General features: G+C 41.8%; 1 long non-coding RNA gene across 1 annotated transcript, besides 2 other annotated features; it reads left to right on the forward strand.

Annotated features, from left to right (window-relative positions):
- The first annotated feature begins 2,173 nt into the window (after nt 1-2,173).
- Nucleotides 2,174-20,737, forward strand: LOC124903541 (uncharacterized). The gene is made up of 3 exons (XR_007064740.1): nt 2,174-14,449; nt 17,525-17,684; nt 19,025-20,737. It is a non-coding gene; the product is annotated as an uncharacterized LOC124903541 (long non-coding RNA).
- Nucleotides 2,965-3,476: an enhancer, noted in NCBI's record as "NANOG hESC enhancer chr15:82031361-82031872 (GRCh37/hg19 assembly coordinates)". NCBI's record gives its function as "activates a minimal SCP1, AML or CMV promoter by ChIP-STARR-seq in naive H9 embryonic stem cells {active_cell/tissue: H9 hESC(naive)}" and the evidence as "EXISTENCE:reporter gene assay evidence [ECO:0000049][PMID:30033119]".
- Nucleotides 13,702-14,276: an enhancer, noted in NCBI's record as "H3K4me1 hESC enhancer chr15:82042098-82042672 (GRCh37/hg19 assembly coordinates)". NCBI's record gives its function as "activates a minimal SCP1, AML or CMV promoter by ChIP-STARR-seq in naive H9 embryonic stem cells {active_cell/tissue: H9 hESC(naive)}" and the evidence as "EXISTENCE:reporter gene assay evidence [ECO:0000049][PMID:30033119]".
- Nucleotides 20,738-21,368: the final 631 nt, after the last annotated feature.

Below are 21,368 nucleotides of genomic sequence, written 5' to 3' on the forward strand. Positions count from 1 at the left end.
CAAACACTGCATATTCTCACTCATAGGTGGGAAGTGAACAATGAGATCACATGGACACAGGAAGGGGAATATCACACTCTGGGGACTGTGGTGGGGTGGGGGGAGGGGGGAGGGATAGCATTGGGAGATATACCTAATGCTAGATGACGAGTTAGTGGGTGCAGCGCACCAGCATGGCACATGTATACATATGTAACTAACCTGCACAATGTGCACATGTACCCTAAAACTTAAAGTATAATTAAAAAAAAAATTAAAAAAAAAAAGAAAATCTAGTGATATAATTTAAATATAAATTTACACTTGAGAATGGTTTAAGACCTCTTCTACTCAGAGCAAGAGAGAAAAGAAACAAAGATCATCACACAGTTGAAAAGCTTGAGAAAAGAAGGCCAAGGATGAAAAAGCCAATTCTCTGATTTCATTTTTCTCCCATGTTGGCAAAATGGGAAAAAAAACAGATCCACTGTAGTCAAACATGGAAAAATGGTTAACCTCATACTCTAATGAGTGTGTGTACAGTCATATATCCCTTAATGATGGGGATATGTGTTGAGAAATGCATCATTAGGTGATTTCGTCATGTGAACATCATAGAGTGTATTACACAAACATAGAAGGAATAGCTTACTACACACCTAGGCTGTATGGAATAGCCTATTTTCCTAGGCTACAAACCTGTACAGCATGTTACTGTAATGTTGGCAACTGTAGCACAATGGTAAGTATTTGTATATCTAAACATAGAAAAGATACAGAAAAAAACACATATTAAAATCTTAGGACCACTATATGTAGCCTGTCATTGATTGAAACATCATTATGCAGCTAATGCATGTACACTGGTATAGTCCTCATAAAATAAAATTAGCAGTTATCTATCAAAATTTAAAATATGTGTACCCTATTGACTCAGCCATTCAACTAAAGACTCTATCCTAAAGAAATATTTAAAAAATAGATGCTAGTGATATTGTGGTGAAAAATGAACGCTTATGCACTGTTGGTGGGAGTTTAAATTAGTTCAACCATTGTGGAAAACAGTGTGATGACTCCTCAAAGACCTTAAGACAGAAATTCCATTTGATCCAGCAATCCCATTACTGTATATACACCCGAAGGAATATAATTCATTCTACTATAAAGACACATACACTCATATATTTATTACAGCACTATTCACAATAGCAAAGACATGGAATAAACGTAAGTGTCCATCAATAATAAATTGGATAAAGAAAATGTGGTACATATACACCATGGAATACTATGCAGCCATAAAAAGAATGAGATCATGTCCTTTGCAGGAACATGGATGGAGCTGGAGGCTATTGTCTTTAGCAAATTAACAGAGGAACAGAAAACCAAACACCACATGTCCTCACTTCTAAGTGGGAACTAAATGATGAGAACACATGGACACATACAGGAGAACAGCACACACTGGGGCCTATTGGAGGGTCGAGTGTGAGAGGAGGGAGAGGATCAGGAAAAATAACTAATGGGTACTAGGCTTAATACCATCATGATGAAATAATCTGTAAAACAAATCCCTATGACACAACTTTACGGATGTAACAAACCTGCACATGTACCCCTGAATTCTATTTAAAAAAATAGAATTTTTAACAGAATTTTAAAAATAGAAATTTTAAATAGAATTAGTCCCAATTCTATTTTTAAAAAACCCTCTCCTTTAGTGTGTATACAGTCAGGCATCTCTTTTTTTTTTTTTTTTTTTTTTGAGACGGAGTCTCGCTGTCGCCCAGGCTGGAGTGCAGTGGCGCAATCTCGGCTCACTGCAGGCTCCGCCCCCTGGGGTTCACGCCATTCTCCTGCCTCAGCCTCCCGAGTAGCTGGGACTACAGGCGCCCGCCACCTCGCCCGGCTAATTTTTTGTATTTTTAGTAGAGACGGGGTTTCACCGTGTTAGCCACGATGGTCTCTATCTCCTGACCTCGTGATCCGCCCGCCTCGGCCTCCCAAAGTGCTGGGATTACAGGCGTGAGCCACCGCGCCCGGCCACAGTCAGGCATCTCTTAATGATGGGGATACATTTTGAGAAATGCATGGTTAGTTGATTTTGGTCAGGGATACATGTGCAGGTTTGTTACACACTAACCTTTAATTATAGTTACCTCTGGATATAGCAGTGGGATCAATTGAGAGGGTAGGGTATAAACAGGAATTTTCACATATTAACATCTCTATTGATTGGATTATACTGCTAAAAGCATGTATTACTGTTACAATTTCAAATAAAGCAATACAAATTAATGTAATAAGAATTTCAGGTCCCACAGGGAGGGGAACAACACCCACCAGGGCCGCTCGGGGGGTGGGGGACCAGAGGAGGGAGAGCATTAAGACAAATACCTAAGGCATGTGGGGCTTAAATCCTAGATGATGGGTTGATAGGTGCAGCAAACCACCATGGCACATGTATGCCTACGTAACAAACCTGCACATTCTGCACATGTATCCTGGAACTTAGAGTAAAATTTTAAAAAATTTTTAAAAAGAATTTCAGGTCCCTGAGAAGGAGCTGTTCTTGGAAACTGTGTCTACAATGTTTCATTAGCCTCTACCCCACCTAGACAGGCTAAGAGAAGGTGGCTGTTGGAAGTACTGCTCATGTGTCAGTGTTATCTGGGGAGACTTTGTATCTTCAGGAGAACCAATCAGGCCCAGTACCTTACAACTGAACCACTTCTGTTTACTAAAGGCAATGAAAAATAGTTTATCTCCTTTTCAGACCTTTCAGTAGTCAAAGTTAGTAAGTACATAGTCAAGGCCTCCTATTTGAAAAACAGCACAGGCCAGGAGGTTCCCACAGCCCCAATCCTGGAATAGACTTGGAGACCCTCCTTTGGAGATGTTAACTTTCCTCTGCCCATCCGAGCCTGTTGGAAAATGGAACCCCAACATGAACTGGGTGGTCTCTCCTGAGTCCTTTATTGTCAACTTCAAGTGTGTTCTGGAGTGTGGCCTATAACCTCAATGATAGATATAAAGCCAGACCAAAACATGTGGAGACTGCTAATTTGTCAGCTTTCAGAAATAATATTCTTTAAACATTTATTTTACATGTGTTTATGTGGAGTCTGAACACTGCAGGGGAAAGATAGAGAAGTCTGTGGTTGGCTGACTACAAACAGGGTCATCTCTATTATTCCGAGTACTTCAGTGCTAACTGAAGTACAGATCACTCAGCAAAACAAAAGCCCTCCAGCAACAATGGCTGCTCTCCAGATAAGATGGTAAATGAGCTTGCTTCTGAAGAGTCTACCTCCAAATCTGCATAGCTCATGACAGTAGTTATTCCAACCACACTTGTTACTCTCCTTGAATGGACTCTAGTAAGCGCAATTTTCTCTATCTCTGTCACATACTCCACAATTGCATTCATTTTCCGTTACTGCATAACAAATTATCACAAACTCATAAGCTTAAAATGACATATACTTATTATCTCACAGGTTTCTGTAGGTTGGAAATCTAAGCACAGCTTAATTGGATTCTCTGTTTCAGAGTGTTTCATCAGGTGGCAACCCAGGTGTCAGCTAGGGCTCGGGTCTCATCAGAGGCTGGACTGGGGAAAGATCCACTTCCAAGTTTCCTCAAGTTGTTAGCAGAATTCATCTTATGGCTGTAGGACTGGGATGTCTTGATTTCTTGCTCGCTGTCAGTCATGGGTCTTTCTCATGTCCTTGACACTGCTTGCAGCTCCCTGCCATGTGGTGCCTTCCCATAGGCCTTCTCACAAACATGGCAGCTTACTCATTCAAAGCTACAATGGAGAGTCTCTCTTGTATTAATGTTCACACGCACACATACATAGCGTAATGGCAGGAATGACATCTCATGATTTTGACCATATTTTATTGGTTAGAGGCAAGTGACAGGTCCCACCCACATTCAATGGGAAGTGACTATAGACTTGAACATTGGGGCCACCCTAGGGTCTATCTGCCACAGTGGTGTTATTTTAGTACCCCTTACAGATCACTACTCCAGGAACCGATTGAGTGGTCTGCTCCTTAATCTTTCTCCTAAGGGACAAAAAAAAAAAAATCAGGAGTAAATTATTCTCTGCCTAAATTCATGACAACTTCTTCTTTCATTCCTTGGGAGATTAATGTGTTCACTTAAAAATGAGAATGGGTTTTCAAGTTTTATACAATTTAAGTGTTTTAGTAAAGACAAGTATTTGGGTATTATTTCTTGACCTTTGCTTCTGAGCAGTTGCTGTTAATATTTATCTAAAGTCAATTCAACTGTGCGTTTCCCAGTTTCCATTGAAGGGTGAAACTCATTCATCTCAGTGCATTTGATACTATTGTAAATGAAATCCCTGGAAAAGCAGCATGATGTGGTAAGCCATCCATTAGACCTTAATTTTACTTAAAATCATGGGCTACAAAGTATCATGCTTCAATTTTAAAAAGTGATAGCTGTGAAAAACAATCTTGATAGTGATCCCTAGAGGAATGAATGAGTATGCACCCTTGATTTTGGCATCCTCTCAAGAGAAGAAAGTTTTTAAGTGAGGAGGCAGGATGACTAATGTTTCCATGGGTAAAAAGATCATTTATTTCCATACAAATAAAAAGCCACTTGGCTCTCAACAAAGATCAGGAGATTGAAATTGAAGAAAACAAAATGAATAAACATGGAAAGGATATCTGGGGTCAAAAAAGAATAACACTGTTCCCCAAATTGCAAAGACAAATAAACTTAAAAATAGAAACATGACACTTTAAAGAGCAAATCTTATTCATCCAAAGGAAGCAAAGACTCAGGAGGGGGACCTAATAGGAGATCTATTAGAGCATAGCAGAGACCTCATTGCTGTGTCATTTTTTAATGTTTTTGGAGTGGTAGCCTAAAATATGTGGTGGCATTGCCCCCTTCTCTTGCTGTGACATTGCCTCCCCTTTATTATACACCACTCTCTCCCCTTGGAGACTAAAGGGGAGTAGGTTGGTCAATAGCTGCATTTGCCAACATCAGTTCACTCCCTGAGGCTACTCACAGCACTAGCTTTGTCTTAATTGATAGCCCCATGGTTACCACCTCAAGGCCCTGCCTCTCCAAGCTCCAGAGGGATTTATTTGATGGTTCTGACAAGGGAGTTGTCCATTTCACATTCGTTGCACCACTGTGCTGTTGGAGTTTCTTTATAGGTTGCAGAAAGTACCAAACAAGAAATTCCTCAAAGTGTCTGTACAGTTTTTGTGACACTCTTTCCTATTTTCCAACTTTTATATAGATTTTGCCCTATATAACTTCTTTATTACAATAGAAATATGAAAGTATAGGGAAAGAAAGATTAGTTCAAATCACCATCTTGAACTAGACATTGCAGATTCTTTTCACATCCACACTCTATTTTTAACTATTTATCCTTGAATGACAAAAGGAAATATCTACCTTTGACTGATTTTCCCAGAAATCTTGTAGAAGATACTTATTGAGTGAGCCCACACTTTATGGCTTGCTGTTAGCTTGTGCCACCTAGGACCTTTAAGACCAGCAATGTTTCAATCTGAAGCATACGGGCAGGTACTAGCCAAGGGAGGACCTTGATCTGCAATTAATCTTACTTCACTGTGAGCTGAAGGACAGTTTTCCATACGGGAATGGCTTCTTACCTTCACCTCCACACCAGGTGTGTTGTGTGGTCATACTGAGTCTCTCTCCTGGTGCTTTGCCTGTCAAGTTGAGTGAGTGTCCCTTGATCTTAAAAAGGCAAGGAGCTATCTACATAGGCAGGAAATCTGGTTCAGGAAAACAAATCTCTGTGGGATGCACACTGTTCGATAGGGGATGACCTGTCCCAGAAATGCATGATGCTGCCCACTGGTGTTCTCTGCCTGGCAGTAGTGGCTCTCCAGGCCACAGCACTTATACTTCTATGCAATGATCCAACAGATCCCCTAGTCTTAGTCCCATCCCTGCCACACAACAAAGAGGGTCATCTCAGGTTGGTAAAGACATGATTCATTCTCAAGAAATAACAGAGCTGAACTTTTTTACGACAGTAATATTGGTTAAAAATTGAAAAACTGTTAGGAGAAAAAGGAAAAAATAGAAATGTAATTATAATGAGTTACTTAAATCTGCCAATTTCAGTATATGAGAACATGCAGGCAAAAATAAACAAAAAAGAAGAAGGAAGAATTTAAACAATAAGTTACCAAAGTAGAATTAATAGACATAGATGGAAATGTACACTTTTAAAGCAGACAACACACATTCTATTCCAGGATGTAGAGGGAGCTTAAGGATTTTATTTTGATCACAAAATAAATTTCAATATATTTAAGAAGCAGAAATAATAGATATCACATTCTTTAATAACAAGTAATAAAGGGATGCTGTTAATAAAAAATTAGGCAGAAAATCAACTGTTATCATTTATAAACAGAAAAATTCTATTAAACAGGTATTACTTTTTTCTGATTCTAGGAAACCATCAAATGTAAAACCAACCACTATTTTAATAACAGATTTGTGACGACTGTTATGACAAGCTAATTAATTGTACTTATTCTTGCATTTTATGTAGACTTAGGTTATATGTTGATGTTAAATTTTTTTAGTTGACTTAAACACTGGAATTCTGATATATTCTCCTGTTTTTTAAATTGTGAGAAAATACACATAAAATAAATTTGCTAATTTAACCATTTTTAAGCGTCCAGTCCAGTAGTATTAAGTACATTCACAGTGTTGCATATCCAATCTCCAGAACTCTTTTTTATCTTGCAAAACTGAAACTCTATACCCAATTAAACAGGAACTCTCCATTCCGCCTCCCTCCATCCCCTGGAAACCACCATTCTACTTTATGTCTCTATGATTTTCACTGCTCTAAATACCTCATATAAGTGGAATCATACAGTATTTGTCTTTTTGTGATTGACTTATTTCACTTAGCATAATGTCCTCTAGGTGCATCCATGGATGTTAAATACATTTTGAAAATGTCTTGCAATGACATTCTTCTTACATTATCTATTATTGTTTTTCTTATGTTATCTATTCTTATATATTTATTAATAGATTCCTAATAATCTAACTTCCATTGGTAGGTTAATTCCTGTTCAGGCACAATATTCTTTTACCAATAAAGTGATATTGAATTCAGAACGTGAAAAAAAAAAAAATATATATATATATGTATGAATGTTATGAATCTCCTTAGCCATAGGTTTCCTCTGGTTGTACTCTTTGATAGAAATTGGCTTCAAAGTTAAGCTTATTTTCTAACTGGGCAGATGTCCATATTTTTTAATACTCTGGAGGAGTTAATTCTGTTTTATATAATCTCTTCCTAGGACATGTGTTATCCTTTTCCAGATTTGTTTATTTCTAATTTTGTCTCCATTCATTATTATTGTCTTTCCTCATGTCTGTTTTCTTGTTCTTTCACTTTCCTAGAGGGCTTATTTTTTTTTGTCTTAGTAAAAAACCAGAACATTTAGGGTTTTGTTTTTTCTCGTGGAAATTTGGTACTCTTCCCATAGGTTTTCATATGTAATAGTCTCATTTTCATAATCACTTATTAATGTGTATTTGATTTCCTCCTTAACGTCTTATAACTTTTTCATCTTAAGAGGCCCATTTTCTCATGTTTTAACGTTTTCGAAATTGGTTTGTGACTGAAATATAAAAGACCCAGAATAAATATGAGCAAATAAATTAACATCTGTTCAATTTAACTGGTGGATGCATGGAATCTGTTAAATCTTTATATATATATACATATTATAATTAAAATAATTTCAGTGTATGCTTTTAAAAAGGATAAGCTCTAGTGAGATATGGAAAGAAATAGAGAAGAAAAAATATAACCCAATGCATTATTTTCACTGATGAAGAACTGAGGTCATTTTAGAGGAAATTACTGGTCACAGAGCTTGAATAGTTTTAGGCAATCACTTTAGGGGCAAGCTGGATGTGGAGCATGCCCTCTGAAGTGAATGGCCCTCCAAGGACTAAGGAAGGAGAAGAGGGGCAGGGACTGGCTGAGATGAGCCACCAGTACCCGTGTTCTTCACAGAGCTGTAGGCACTCCCCTAGTAGTCTTTAAATTGATACAAAAATCTAAAAATACCTCCTTATCAGGCTTCCCATGGTATCCGGAATATCCCTCATTATTCATTTCTTTGGACTAAGACATTGGAAGATACTAGGAGACTAAATCCTTGGGAAAGTTAACACCTTAATCTGGTATCATCTTTAATACTTTGGCCTCAATTTAATCCCTAAGTTTGACTGCTGGTCGTCATTCAGGATCCTGATTAAATAAGACACAGAAAGGTGCACTTTTCAGGGGGAAATGATGGGTAGGAAAGTCCACTACATTCAAATCTACCCAAATGCACAGGGTCAGTTAAGGACTGATGGTAAGTGGTGGGTCTCGGCGGTGGGATGGTGTGGTGAGATGAGCAGGCCATTAAAGCCAGGCTTTTGCCATGTCACGTGATTGCCCAGGCTGGGATGTGTGAAAGCACGCCTCCTTCAGGGTCAGATTTCACTGCATCTGAGCATGTGACCAGCACTGAGATATCTGTAAGACCCTGTTCTGTTCTCCAAATCTACAGAAAACCCCTTATTGACCAAATGGTAATTTGTTCACTTTTAAAATACCAGGGTTAGAATAAGTAGCTTAAAAGTAACCTATCATAGAATACTTAGTTGAAATGACACCTAAATGGCTTTCTCAATTTACTTTCTGGAGATTAAAAATAAAAATATGAAATATTGGAGATACTTTATTTTTATTTATTGATTTATTTATTTTTTGAGATGGAGTCTCGCTCTGTCACCCAGGCTGGAGTGCAGTGGCATGATCTTGGCTCAATGCAACCTCCACCTCCTGGGTTCAAGCGATTCTCCTGCCTCAGCCTCCTGAGTAGCTGAGATTACAGGCACGCACCAACATGCCTGGCTAATTTTTGTATTTTTAGTAGAGACAGGGTTTCACCATGTTCGTCAGGCTGGTCTCAAACTCCTGACCTTGAGATCCACCCACCTCAACCTCCCAAAGTGCTGGAATTACAGACATAAGCCACCCCACCTGGCCTGGAGATACTTTTTGTTTAAATTTATAATAGATTTAATTTGCTGAAGTCATGATTTTATTTTATTTCTTATTTCAACAGTAGAAATTTAAAAATAAGCATGATCAGACATGTATATATCAAAAATGGCAAACTACTAAAACCTCAAGTCAATGAAAAGTTTTTGAAACTTAATCTAATGCAACTGGTGTTTTGTTTGGGTGTTAAGCATCAGAACTCCTTTATTAAGATGAAGTCTTATGGAGAAGCTAGTATGCAAAAGAGTAAAGAACAGAGCTGCACTAGTTGAAGGTCCAGAAGGGGAACTAGAGGCAGCCCATTTGGGCCTCTATTAATCAGCTTTTCCTACAATAGTGCTGTGTAACAACGAACCCCAAAGTTTTAACACCTTATAACCACATATATTTATTTTTTGCTCACAGGTCTGTGGGATGGTTGCCTTGGCTCTGTTCCAGGCTGGGAGATCGGTTTAGTTCTGCCCACAAATATTCTCATTGTAGGACCAGACTAAAGGGGCACTTGATGCTCTTATAGCAGGCAGCAGGGGTGCAAGAGGTTAAAGTGGAAACATAAATCACCTTTCAAAGCATCTGCTCAGAATTGGCATACTGTCACTTCCACACAAATGTCATTGAGCAAAGCAAATCATATGGCCATTCCCTGCATCTGTGGAGTGGGAATGTAAACTCCTCCTATGGAAAGAGGGGTAGAGCACTTGCTGATTGAAATATTATCCACCATTTACCTCTTTCCTTCTTCCCCTCAATCACCTCCATAGAAACCCAAGGTACTAAAAAGTAGAGTTTGAAAACTGATAATCGAATTCAGTTCCCTTCCTTTTACATATGTGGAAAGTGAGGTTCAGGGTGAAGCCTGCCTCATCACACCAAGTTCATGGTATACCTAGAACCAGAACTCAGTTTTTCTAACCTGTTGCCCAGTGATCAATCCACCAGGAAACAGTACCTCTCCCCTAAATAATAATGCTCCAATGGATTAAATAGATATTTTATATACTTAAAATTTTTAGGCTTTATGTAAAACTTATAATTATAAGGAACATAGTGAAACTATCAATTAGCTTGTGCCTGGAGTCGATTCAGCCCACTTATTCAAATCTTCTAATTTCATCCATGTCAAAAGCATCTTGGCAAAGATTTGCTGCCAATCGTAATCGTTGGACTTGGTCTAAGGCCCCTCAGGAGAGAAGATGGGATGAAAGTTTGGGAGGAAACAAGGAATTTTATTGTACTTTTGGTTGTTTTTGCTTTATGTTTTCAATTTCATTTGTTTGTTTTCAATCCGGGACATTTTCCTGATCAACGTGAAACAGCTCATCATGTAGCTTCCCTATAAAAACGACATGTAATTCCCAACAAACTCAAGAGGAGTCACAGACTATTTGTGTATTTTAGTGGAGGAAAAGAACAGCCAGTTATATATTTTTGAAGATTTCCAAAATGGTGTTTTTTCTTATGCAGTTAGCAAGCACTACTCAAAGATTCTCAAACTTTTTTTTTTTCTTCTATTAAATGTCTTCATGCCAATCTGGAGATTTTAGAGTGATGGGCTTTTCTAAGCTCTTAGCACTTCCTTTTAGAAACAGGAGTATTGAAAGATCAATATTCCTTACAAATTGGTAAAAAACTTAAGCAAGTCTTTTGCTTCTTCTGCTATTAAACAGCAGAGAGCAGCAGTCCCAGACTTGCTTAATTCTTAAGTAATGAACTTCTGTGTTTTGGGGGGAGAAACTTGGCTGCTGATAGAGTGACTGTTCTTTAGTGCATGTGAGCCCATGGACCTAGGAGAACATCTTTCTGAAGATACCGACACTGGTGTGCTCTTTCTTTGCTAGAGACAGATGGTACCCCCTTCACCCTCCTGACTGAATGTTCCTGTAACCTGAAGATCTCAGGAACAGTCAAGAGAAAGGGTTTTGCTGGAGTGAAAGTGTGAATCTTCTGAGTAACCCGAGAGAGGAGGAAATGAAGGGGAAAGAACTAACAGCAAAAAGCAGGGCTAGGACAAGTGATCCTCCCGGTGCCTGCAGCCTTTATCCCTTCTTCCCAGAAGGCAAGATGCATAAGGAGATAACCTCAACTTTTAGGACAGCATTCCAGCATTCTCCTGAAGCTTTCCCTGCAATAAACCAGCACTGCCCCAGAAGCAGTTAAGCGTATGATCTAGCCTAATCTCTGTTAGTGAAAAACCAAAGTTTAATGATATGGGTCCATACAACAAAGGAGTATGTTCTAATGCCTGGATATCTGTGAACTTGTCATGTTGCTTAAACTCCCTCTGATTGTTGGATCCATCCCTACCCAAATCTCATGTTGAAATGTAATCCCCAATGTTGCAGCAGGTGGAGCCTGGTGGGATCTGATTGGATCATGGGGGTGGATTTCTCATGAATGGTGTTCTCATGATAGTGAGTGAGTTCCCACAAGATCTGGTGGTCTAAAAGTGTGTGGTGCCTTTCTCTTCTCTCTCTTGCTCCTGCTTTTGCCATGTGAGATCCCTGCTTCCTCTTGGCATTCTGCCATGATTTAAGTTTCCTGAGGCCTCCCAGGAAGCAGATGCCGCTACGTTTCCTGTACAGTCTGCAAAACCATGAGTCAATTAAACCTATTTTCTTTATAAACTACTCAATCTTGGATATTTCTTTATAGCAATGTGAGAACAGCCTAATACATCATCTGTCCAGAAACTAAAAAAAATGTAAATTATTGAATGAAACATCAGCTTTGTTCCAGATTTAACTTGATGGCCCTATCTCATCTTTGTGGCCTTCCAGTGGAAACTATAATAGTTCTTACAATACAAGCTACCCTTTGAGATCAATGTGTAGCATTTGAGATTAATTTTGTAGCATTTTAGATCTAAAAAGTTGACATAAGAAATCACCTAGCATAGCCTCATTTAACGGTTAACTAAAAATCAGCAACAAAAGGAGTTTTTCTTAGAGTGGTAGGCAGAATTCTGGCACACACTCCCCAAGATTCCCACCCACAGTGTACACACACTTTGTAAGCTTCTACCCTTGAATGTGGGTGGGACTGTGAATATGATGAATTTCACTCTTATGGTTAGGTTATGTTATACGGAAAAGGTGAAGGATTTTTTTTCAGATGTAACTAAGGTTCCTAATGAGTTACTCAAAAGGGAGGTTATGTTGGGTGGGTCTGAGCTAATCAGGTGGGCCTGTAAAAGAAGTGAGAGATTCAAAACAAGAGTGATCCTCTATTGGCCTTGTAGAAACACCCTTCCCTGCTGCTGACAGGACCACATGGCAGAGGACAGCGGGCCTTCTCTGAGGAGCTGAAGACATCAGTCCTGTAGCCACAGGGAACTGAATTCTGCCAACAACCAGCATGAGCTTGAAAGAGCCCCTCTAGCCTCAGAAAAGAGCATGGCCCTGGTCAGGACCTGCTAAGACCCTGAGTACAAGACCAGGCTCACCTATGCCATAATCCTGACCCACAGAAACTGTGCAACAATAAATTTGGGTCAAACTAAGCCTCCAAGTGGTGCTAATTTGTTACAAAGCATAGAACACTAATACGCTTAGATCAAATGTTGGATCCTAGCAATGCTGGACCTAGAAAAATTTCTGTATTAACAACTCAGTTCCCTCTGGTTATTGCTCTGTTGGGAGACCTCAGTATCCCTCACCCCAGCCCATCACCACCACCACCACCAAGAACACAAACTAAAATGGAACTCCCAAATGAACTCAGAACTTTTGAAAAGGAATTCACAGAAGAGAGTCACTACACCCAGCTGGGATGAACCCAGACAGATGAAAAATGGAGTTTATGACTGTATACTCACAAAAGTAGGATGGAAATTACACACTGACAGCCCTTGGGCCCCACATACCTTGCAGAGGTGGTTTCCTTCACCAACATAATGCTTTAAAAAATGGAATTTGTTGTCAATATGTAAATTTTTTAATTGTATAGAAAAATTAGAATGGCTGGCTTTTCTTGACAATTTGGAAGATAGACAACACTAAGCCCATGGGGTCTGAGCTGTCATGTCCCTTTCCATCCATCTTCCAATGAGACGGTCATTGCAGTCCCCATGGCTCCAAATTGTCTTGCACTTGGACTATTTCACTCAGTGTTTTTTTTTTGTTTGTTTTGTGGGGGGGGGGGTTGTTTGTTTTGTTTTTGAGACGGAGTCTTACTCTGTCACCGAGGCTGGGGTGCAATGGCACAATCTCAGCTCACTGCAACCTCCACCTCCCAGATTCAAGCAATTCTCCTGCCTCAGCCTCCCGAGTAGCTGGAATCACAGGCATGTGCCACCACACCAGCCAATTTTTTCTTTGTATTTTTAGTAGAGACGGAGTTTCACCATGTTGGCCAGGCTGGTCTCAAACTCCTGACCTCAAGTGATCCGCCCACCTTGGCCTCACAAAGTGCTGAGATTACAGGCCTGAGCCACCGTGCCCAGCCTGTTTCATTCATTAGCTTTAAATGCCAGGTCCCCAGAGATTGTGGGTTTGGCATACATGTGGGACAATGTCCCTTGCAGGGAACTAGCTGGCAACTCAACAACAAGAATGAAGTGTGGATTCTGCACCCACAGGCAGAGGTGTCCCTTCCTCCAGCAATAAAGTGCTGTCACGGCCCCAGACCCTTCCTGCAAAGGCAGAGGAAGCAGGAGAGGAAAGGGAGGAGAAGTAGGGGCGTTGGCTGCCTGCCAGGCGACTCCTGCTTCTCAGAGCAGGTATTAAGGCGCAGAAAAATGAGCTGCTGCAGCCTAGCTTGGCTGGGGGTGCTGAACAAAGAACGAACTGCTGGTAACTCCGCGCCTGCAGTTCTTAGCTTGCCAGCAGCCAGGGCCGGGAGAGCATGCTGCGACCCCCACACCTGCTCGCCATTCTTTTCCAGCCAAGCAGCCTCTTAGCAACGGCTCCCTGCGTCAGCTAGAAACGCCGAGGTCCGAAAGAGCCGGCCGAGGTAGAGTGGAGAAGAAGGCTGCCTTGGCTGGGTGCAGGCGGCATCTTCTGCACCAGGTGGAGGACAGGCAGCTTTGCACAACTGAACATCCCTGAGCCAGCCGGCCTCTGAGCATCTTGCGCTGGCAGTGCCGGGCAAAGCTCCCGGGAGGGGAGGCTGCCTGGCATGGAGGGGGCATTGATAAAATGGCAGCCCCTGTCCTTGGCTCCGTTATGCTTACAGGCTCCAAATGGCCTTTATCTCGGTCCTCGCAGCCTGCGCCAGTGCAGAGAGAGAAACGGGCGTCCTACCAGCTGCCGGGAACTCAGGAATGGAGGCAGAGGCGGAAGCAGAGGCTCCAGTTGGTGGAGGCAGCAGAAACCACACTGCTCAGCTTCCCGGGAGGGAAAGGTAAGGAGAAGGCCCAGGTATGGACGCTGCATCGCCTGTCATCCTGGAAGCCCTTTCCCAAAGCTCATGATGGGCTGGCCAGAGGAAGCTACCATAGCCCCGCCAGAGTCTGCTCACTCTACCACCAGCAGCAAGTGTGCCCTCGTTGATTTCACCACTTATTTGAACCCCGTGGATGTCTGGGAAGCAGATTAAAAGGGTGTGCGCGGGGGCCGTGTGCCTCCTTGCCTGACCAAGATGCCCAACCCCTTGTTCTGCAAAAACAGCAGTGCCCTCACCCTCCGCAGTGCTGCTGTTACCATTAGAGTTAATGATCGCCTTCTGTTCATATCCCCATGGCCTAAACCTCAGGCGTCCTAGCGGCCCCAGTTTGGGTTTAGGCACAGGGCACATTGTCCTGCAGCCACTTTGGCCCAGAGCCCAAGTCCTCATTTGTCAAGTAAAAGGGGTACCCCACCTGCAATTTCCTGCCATCTCTGACTACTCCTCAGTGCACCTCTCAGAACCTCATCTCCCCCAGATCACAAGCACTGACATACATTTCAGTCTTCTGTCACAGCATCACTCACATCCAGCAGCTGGCATGCTCCTAGGTCTTATTAGCATGAGAGGGCACAGACCCATGCCACTGTCTTAACCCGAAGTACCAGAATGGACAGTGTAGCCTGGACACCAGCCAGGAAGAAAGCCTTCCAATGGGTAAGAAAATGTGTATGAAAGAAACGTTTAAACTACAAAGCACAATACAAATGCCAGAAGTGGCGATCCATAGTACTACTGCATCAATACTAGAACTGAAAATGTAAATTATGCGTTCTCCAGTGAGTTTGGGGGCTTGCAACCATAGTGGTTTGCACTCATTTGCATCAGGCTTTTATTGTCTTATTTATGCTTGAGACCAGCTCATTAAAAGACAGTGACATTTGTCTTCGAGCAACACAAGAGAGCACCACCCGCAAGAGAGCAGCTTGCACAGTTTTGCTGCTTGACCTGCTCGCCTCTGGACATCCGGGAGTGGTAGGAGGCTTCTGGTGCTTCCCAGGTGCCAAACCATTTCTTGGATAGCTTTGGACAGACTCTGTTGCCTATGCTGAGAGGTCCTTCTGGACTTTTTCACCGACAAATTCTCTGATTCCCTCTCAGGAGTTTTGCCTTTTCGATGTGCATAAAGAGGAGTAGTCGGCAGGGAAACACCTTAAATGTGCTGCTCCCTGGCTCAGGAAGCTGCAAATTCCACCCCCCTCCCCCACCCCAAACCTCCCACCAGTACCACCTGTCTTCTCCCCACTCTCCAGGTAAATAATTCCCCTTTCTGGGGGTCAGTGTGGCATAATTCCCTCTGTGCTATTTTTCTGTCCTGATCCAAGATTCCCTTTGTTATGGCTGAATGGACAAACACAGAGTCCACGTGAACCAATGGTTGAGTGCCTTACACCTAAGGGGAAAAAAAATCCTTTCATAAAACTGCTTTGACAAGAATTTCCAAATAGAGATCTTCAATGTAGAATGGCTGGTCGGGACCTGTGTACGAAGCTCCATATAGAGGCTGAAATTCATTTCTTTAAAATTGTCGCTTATTTCCTGTTTCCTCCTTTACAAATGAAGGTACTGCCAGAAAATTTTCCTGTATCAAGGACATACACATTGTGCCTTCCCTGAATCACAGTTCACTCTTTATTCATTCAATGAACACTCTGATTAACTTCCATTGATTAGGGGTAAGAACTCACTACGAGTGAGGTATTATTTGCAAAAAAAAAAAAAATGCTCCCAATTCAGTTTCCTTTGTATGACAATATAATTAAAAGGCATCCTCCAAGGCCAGGGAGCTCCTAAGGGGAAGGAATTGTGGCAAACATTCAAGTCCACATAACCTCCGTCACTTGTGATTTGGCACCTGAAATAGTTACATGGTTTGGAAGATTTTTTTTTTTTCAGTATTGAACAATAAGCTGATTATTTCACATTTTTAAAAGTCAGTTTCAAATGCTTTTTTTTTTTTTTTTAATCTGCAAACCAAGAACCTGGAAAGGAATACAAATTCCTTCCTGGAAAACATGTATCCCTTCCTGCCCTCCCTCCACGCCCTGATAAATAACATGAGCATGCAGCGATTTGCCAACAGCAGCTCCAGGCATGAGGCACAACATCTGTTACTGAGACACTGGAGAGACAGTGGAAAGCAAGTTGGCTGCCTGCCAACCCTCAGACTCCAGATTTTTGCTGACAAGGCTGTCAATAAATGGGCAGATGGCATCAGCTCTGCTGGCAGGAGAGTTCAGTTAACCCAGTGCGGGACATTATTTCAAATTCATGGTGCACCAGGCTGAGCCCTTTGTTGGGCCATTAAAGCCATTCCTTGATGGAGAAGGGAGAGCAGGACTAGGAAATCAGGAGGCACTAGCTTCATTTAATTAGATTAACTAAGCCTTCCACAGTGGCAGCCAGAATCAGATTAGCCCTCGTGACCATGAAAAGCTATGTATTTTTTTTTTGTTTTTGGAGGGCGGGGAGATACCTCATTCACACATTGCATTTTATGCCATTTAAACATAAGGATCTAATTCTCAGTAGTTATGGATACCCCTGCAAAGAGAACTTAACCCAAAATAAACATTAGGAAAGATCTACACGTCTCCTCTGCAAGCAAGCGCATGGCTGCATTGTCCTATAAGAACTGTATGCAAATATGTGAGCAGTGCTAGCAGCATTTAGATGAAAAGCTAGCATGGGCTCCATGTCCTATCAAGCCCAGGAATATCACGGCTAACTCTCAGAGATGTCCTCTGGTGGTGAATTGGGGACAACACCCTTTCCTATCTGAAAGAATGATTAAAACCCTTTAGAATAGAAGCTTGTGGTGATTGCAGTGTAATCTCATGAGCATAGGACTAAGACAGATCTGCAGTGGGATCTGAAGCAGGTCATTTAAACAACTCTCCCCATCTTCCCATCTACACAAACCACTCGGCTATTGGAAGTAATAAATGAGATAATTCCACACATCTGCATAGTATTTTAGAGTGACAAAGTTGCTTTTGTATATTCTAAGACAGTGGTGATTTTACCCTCCAGGAAACATCTGGCAATGTCTGGAGACACTCTTGGCATCTAGTGGGTGGAGGCCAGGATGCTGCTAAACATCCTCCAATGCACAGGACAGACTCCACGACAAACAGTCATTCAGCCTGAAATGTCAGTAGTTCAAGGGGGAAAAACGCTGCACCAGGATGATGTAAGTAAAAGTTCTTCATACCCCATGAAAATGAGAGAAAAGAAAGAGGGGCTGGCTACCACGGTGTGGAGAGAGAAACTTAGATATTTGTTCTTAATGTCACTTAATTTCAGTGTCACTATTCCAAATGTTATTTTCTTTTTAACCCTTCAACTAAAACATCAGTTCCCGCAATTTCTTCAAGCTGGTCTTATTAATCAGATTTGAATGATGAAATATCACATCCATAAAAGGCATTTTGGGTTTAGCTAGTTATTATCAAATGAGAGTATGCATCTGCCCAATAACTAGGCATATAACACATTGAATAGAAGCATGGCTAATTAGCAACTGGGATCTGAGATGTCAACAGGATTTGGGGGATTAAAAGGAAATTAAGATGACTTCAGAATGTATGGGGTTAGGGATTTGGGGTTTATCTGCAAAGGTGGTCTCTTTCTCGTTTCTCCTCTTGGGTTTGAATTGTTTTGGACAGACAAGAGAAGAGGGATGACTCACTCCCTGTTTTGAATGTGTAGCTGCCCTTTTTAGGTATCAGTCTGGCAAGTCTCTGGCCTGCCACTCTCTTGTTAGGGTTATGAGCTGAACTGTTTCCCCCCAGAATTCCTATGTTGAAGTCTTAATTTCCAGTACCTGGAAATCAGGGCATTGCAAATGGAATTAGTTAAGATGAGGTCATACTGGAATAGGTTGGGCCCCAATCCAGTAAGATTGGTATCCTTTTAAAAAGGGGGAATTTGGATACCAACACACACAGGGAAAACACCTTGTGAACACAAAGGCAGAGATCGTGGTCATGCATCTAGAAGCTCAGGAACACCAAGACTGTGCCAGCAAACCACCAGAAACTAGGAAAGACACAGAGAACAGATTCTTTCTCACAGCCCTCAGAAGGAATCAGCCCTTGATCTCAGGCTTCCAGCCTCCAGACCTGTAAGACACTAAGTGTTTGTTGTTGAAGCCACTCAGTTTGTGGTCTTTGTTACTGTTACTGCAGCTGTAGCAAACCATCAGGTAGATAGGAATTCAAGCAATGGAAGGGAGACAGACCATTCTTGATGGTCATCTTCCACCCGCTGCCACCCTCACCCAATTGCTCATAAGGAGCATACAACTATCTGCTCAACTTACGCAGTGAAAGCCTCTACCCTATCTCCTCTCTAGCAGGCAAAAGGAAGGGAGCTAGGCAATACAAGAGCCCTCATTTCCTTATGACCCAGGCAAGATTTCCAGGAATATTTGCTGCATAGCTGAGTGAAAAACCCTTTCCTTAAAATATCATAAGAGGGTGGGAAATGACGGAGGCAATGCTGCTTACTTTGGTTCCTTCTACTCAATAGGTTCGGGACCTGGCACTTGCAAACCCTTCACATGTAGGGCTAGGTTCACAGTTGTGCCTACCCCTGGAGGCATATTAGCAGCTCTGGGAACTTAAAACAACAACAACAACAACAACGTTTAGGGCCCTTTCCAGACCAGAATCTCTGAGAGGAGGGCTCAAGCATCATCCACAGGTTGAGACACACCAGGATGGAGACCCACTGGACCAGAAGGGGTCACCTGCAAGGAATGACACGCTGGAGGAGGACAAAGGCCAAAGCATGTGATTCTTGCAGGACTTTATGGCCATGCTATGGAGGAGACAATGCGGAACCCCCGGAGTATTTTAAGCTAGGGAGTAATACGGTCAAATTTCCATTTAGACAAATTATTTTAGCAATGTTAAGCAGGATGCTTTAGAAAGAGGAGGTGAGGAGAGCATGAAGACCAGTCAGAAGGCTTTGCAGTGGTCCAGGACAGCATTGGTGAGAATGAAAATGGAAGCATTTCCCTATTTCCCCTGCCCCGCCTAGCCCCCAGCCCCTGGCAATCAGTAGTCTACTTTGGAAATGGGTTGCAATGGTGTGGATTTCAAAAATATGCAAGTGATAACATTGATGGGACTTTAGACCCATGAGATTTGGGCATTGAGAGGGAGGGAGGAATCAAAAGTGAAGCCCAGTGTTTCTTGCTTCAGAACTGGATATTTGGTGGTGAAATTTACTGAGATAAGAAGCCCAGAAAGAGACCCACATGAGTTCTGTTCCAGACGTGTTGAGATAAAGGGATCCACGAGGAGGCTGGAGCTCTTCAGGTCTGGAACTTGGACAGGCATGTTAGGCTGAGTTGTACTTTTGCAAGTTTCTCGAAAACAGATTGAGAAAGAAGAGGACCATGAACAAAACCCCCGGGAACCCCTAAGGATGCATAGAAAAAGGAGGAACACAGGAGCAAAGGGTGCCACAGAGAAAACAAGAGAAGAGAGGATTTCAAGAAACAGGGAGGAGTTAACAGTGTCAAAGGCAGCGGAGAACTTAGGTAAGATAAGTACTGAGGATTGTCTGGTGGATTTGGCGATTTAGCAAAAGAGTTTCTGTGGATCAGTGGGGAAAAGAAAGGAGGTAAGAGAGGATTGAGGAACAACTGAGAGGGGAGCATGCGTAGCTGGTAAAGAACTGTATTTGTAATAATAATATGCCTAGTACCCTCATAAAGTTTTTTTATTGTAGTAACATACATGAACATAAAATTTACTCTTTTAACCATCTTAACGTATACACATTGGTGAGTAAAGTACACGTACAGTGTTGCACAACCATCACCACTGTGCAGGTCCGGAACTAAAATGAACACTCCAATAAACTTCCAGTCCCAAAAAGTAAACTTTATACCCATAAAGAGTCATTCCCTATTTCCACCGCCCTGCTTAACCCCCAGCCCCTGGCAATCAGTAATCTTGTTTCTTTCTGTATGGATTTGCCTATTCTGAATATTTCATATAAATGGAATAGTACAAGATGTGATCCTTTGGGCTGATTTCAAAAGACCTTCTCGTGTTTTCAAGGTTCATCCATGTTACAGCATGTGTCAGTACTTCATTCTGTGTCTAGGGCTCAATAATATTCCACGTTATAGATATATTTTGTTTATCTATTCATGGATATTTGGGTACATGGATATGTGGATGGATATTTGGATCACTATAAATAAAGTTTAAGGTTTACAAATCACTATCTCAGTCTAGGTTGTGTCCGGGTCCTTTTAGAGGCAGATGCTGAAACAATTAATGTGCAAGGATTTTTTTTAGGAAAGCCACCTGTGAAAGAAAATGGGACCGGGGGCTAGATAAGGTGGGGAGAACACGACCCAAGTCTCCCTCAGTGAAGGGGAGAGGAAGAGAAGGTTGGATGGAATCGTCCCGTGCACCAGAGAGTCTAAAAGAGGCTCACCAAGACCTGTGGAGAGTCTGGAAGCCGAAGTCAGATGTTAAAGGAATTCTGAGTGTCCTGTTAATGGGCCTGCCTTAATATCCCTGCCCAGTTCAGTCACTGACTAGAGGAGCTGGTAAGTCCTGGGCACAAAAACAGCAATGATCCTCGGCCTTTAAAGCACCCTATACTTGTTGATTTATGCAGTGTCTTCTCATGGCCCCCACACAATCCTCAATGTATGAAATGAGTATTATTATTATTATCCATATTTGAGAGCTCAAGAAAACATAATCTTAGAGAGATTGTCTTACCCACTATCAATCAGCCAGTAAGTGGTAAACCTAATTATTAAACTCAGGTTTTCCAATGTTAAAGCAAACTAAATATGGCCTGAGAAGGACTCTGTACTTCTATATTTGAGTCCTTGTGGATG

The sequence above is a fragment of the Homo sapiens genome, chromosome 15 (assembly GCF_000001405.40).
Source record: "Homo sapiens chromosome 15, GRCh38.p14 Primary Assembly".
Lineage (NCBI taxonomy): Eukaryota > Metazoa > Chordata > Mammalia > Primates > Hominidae > Homo > Homo sapiens.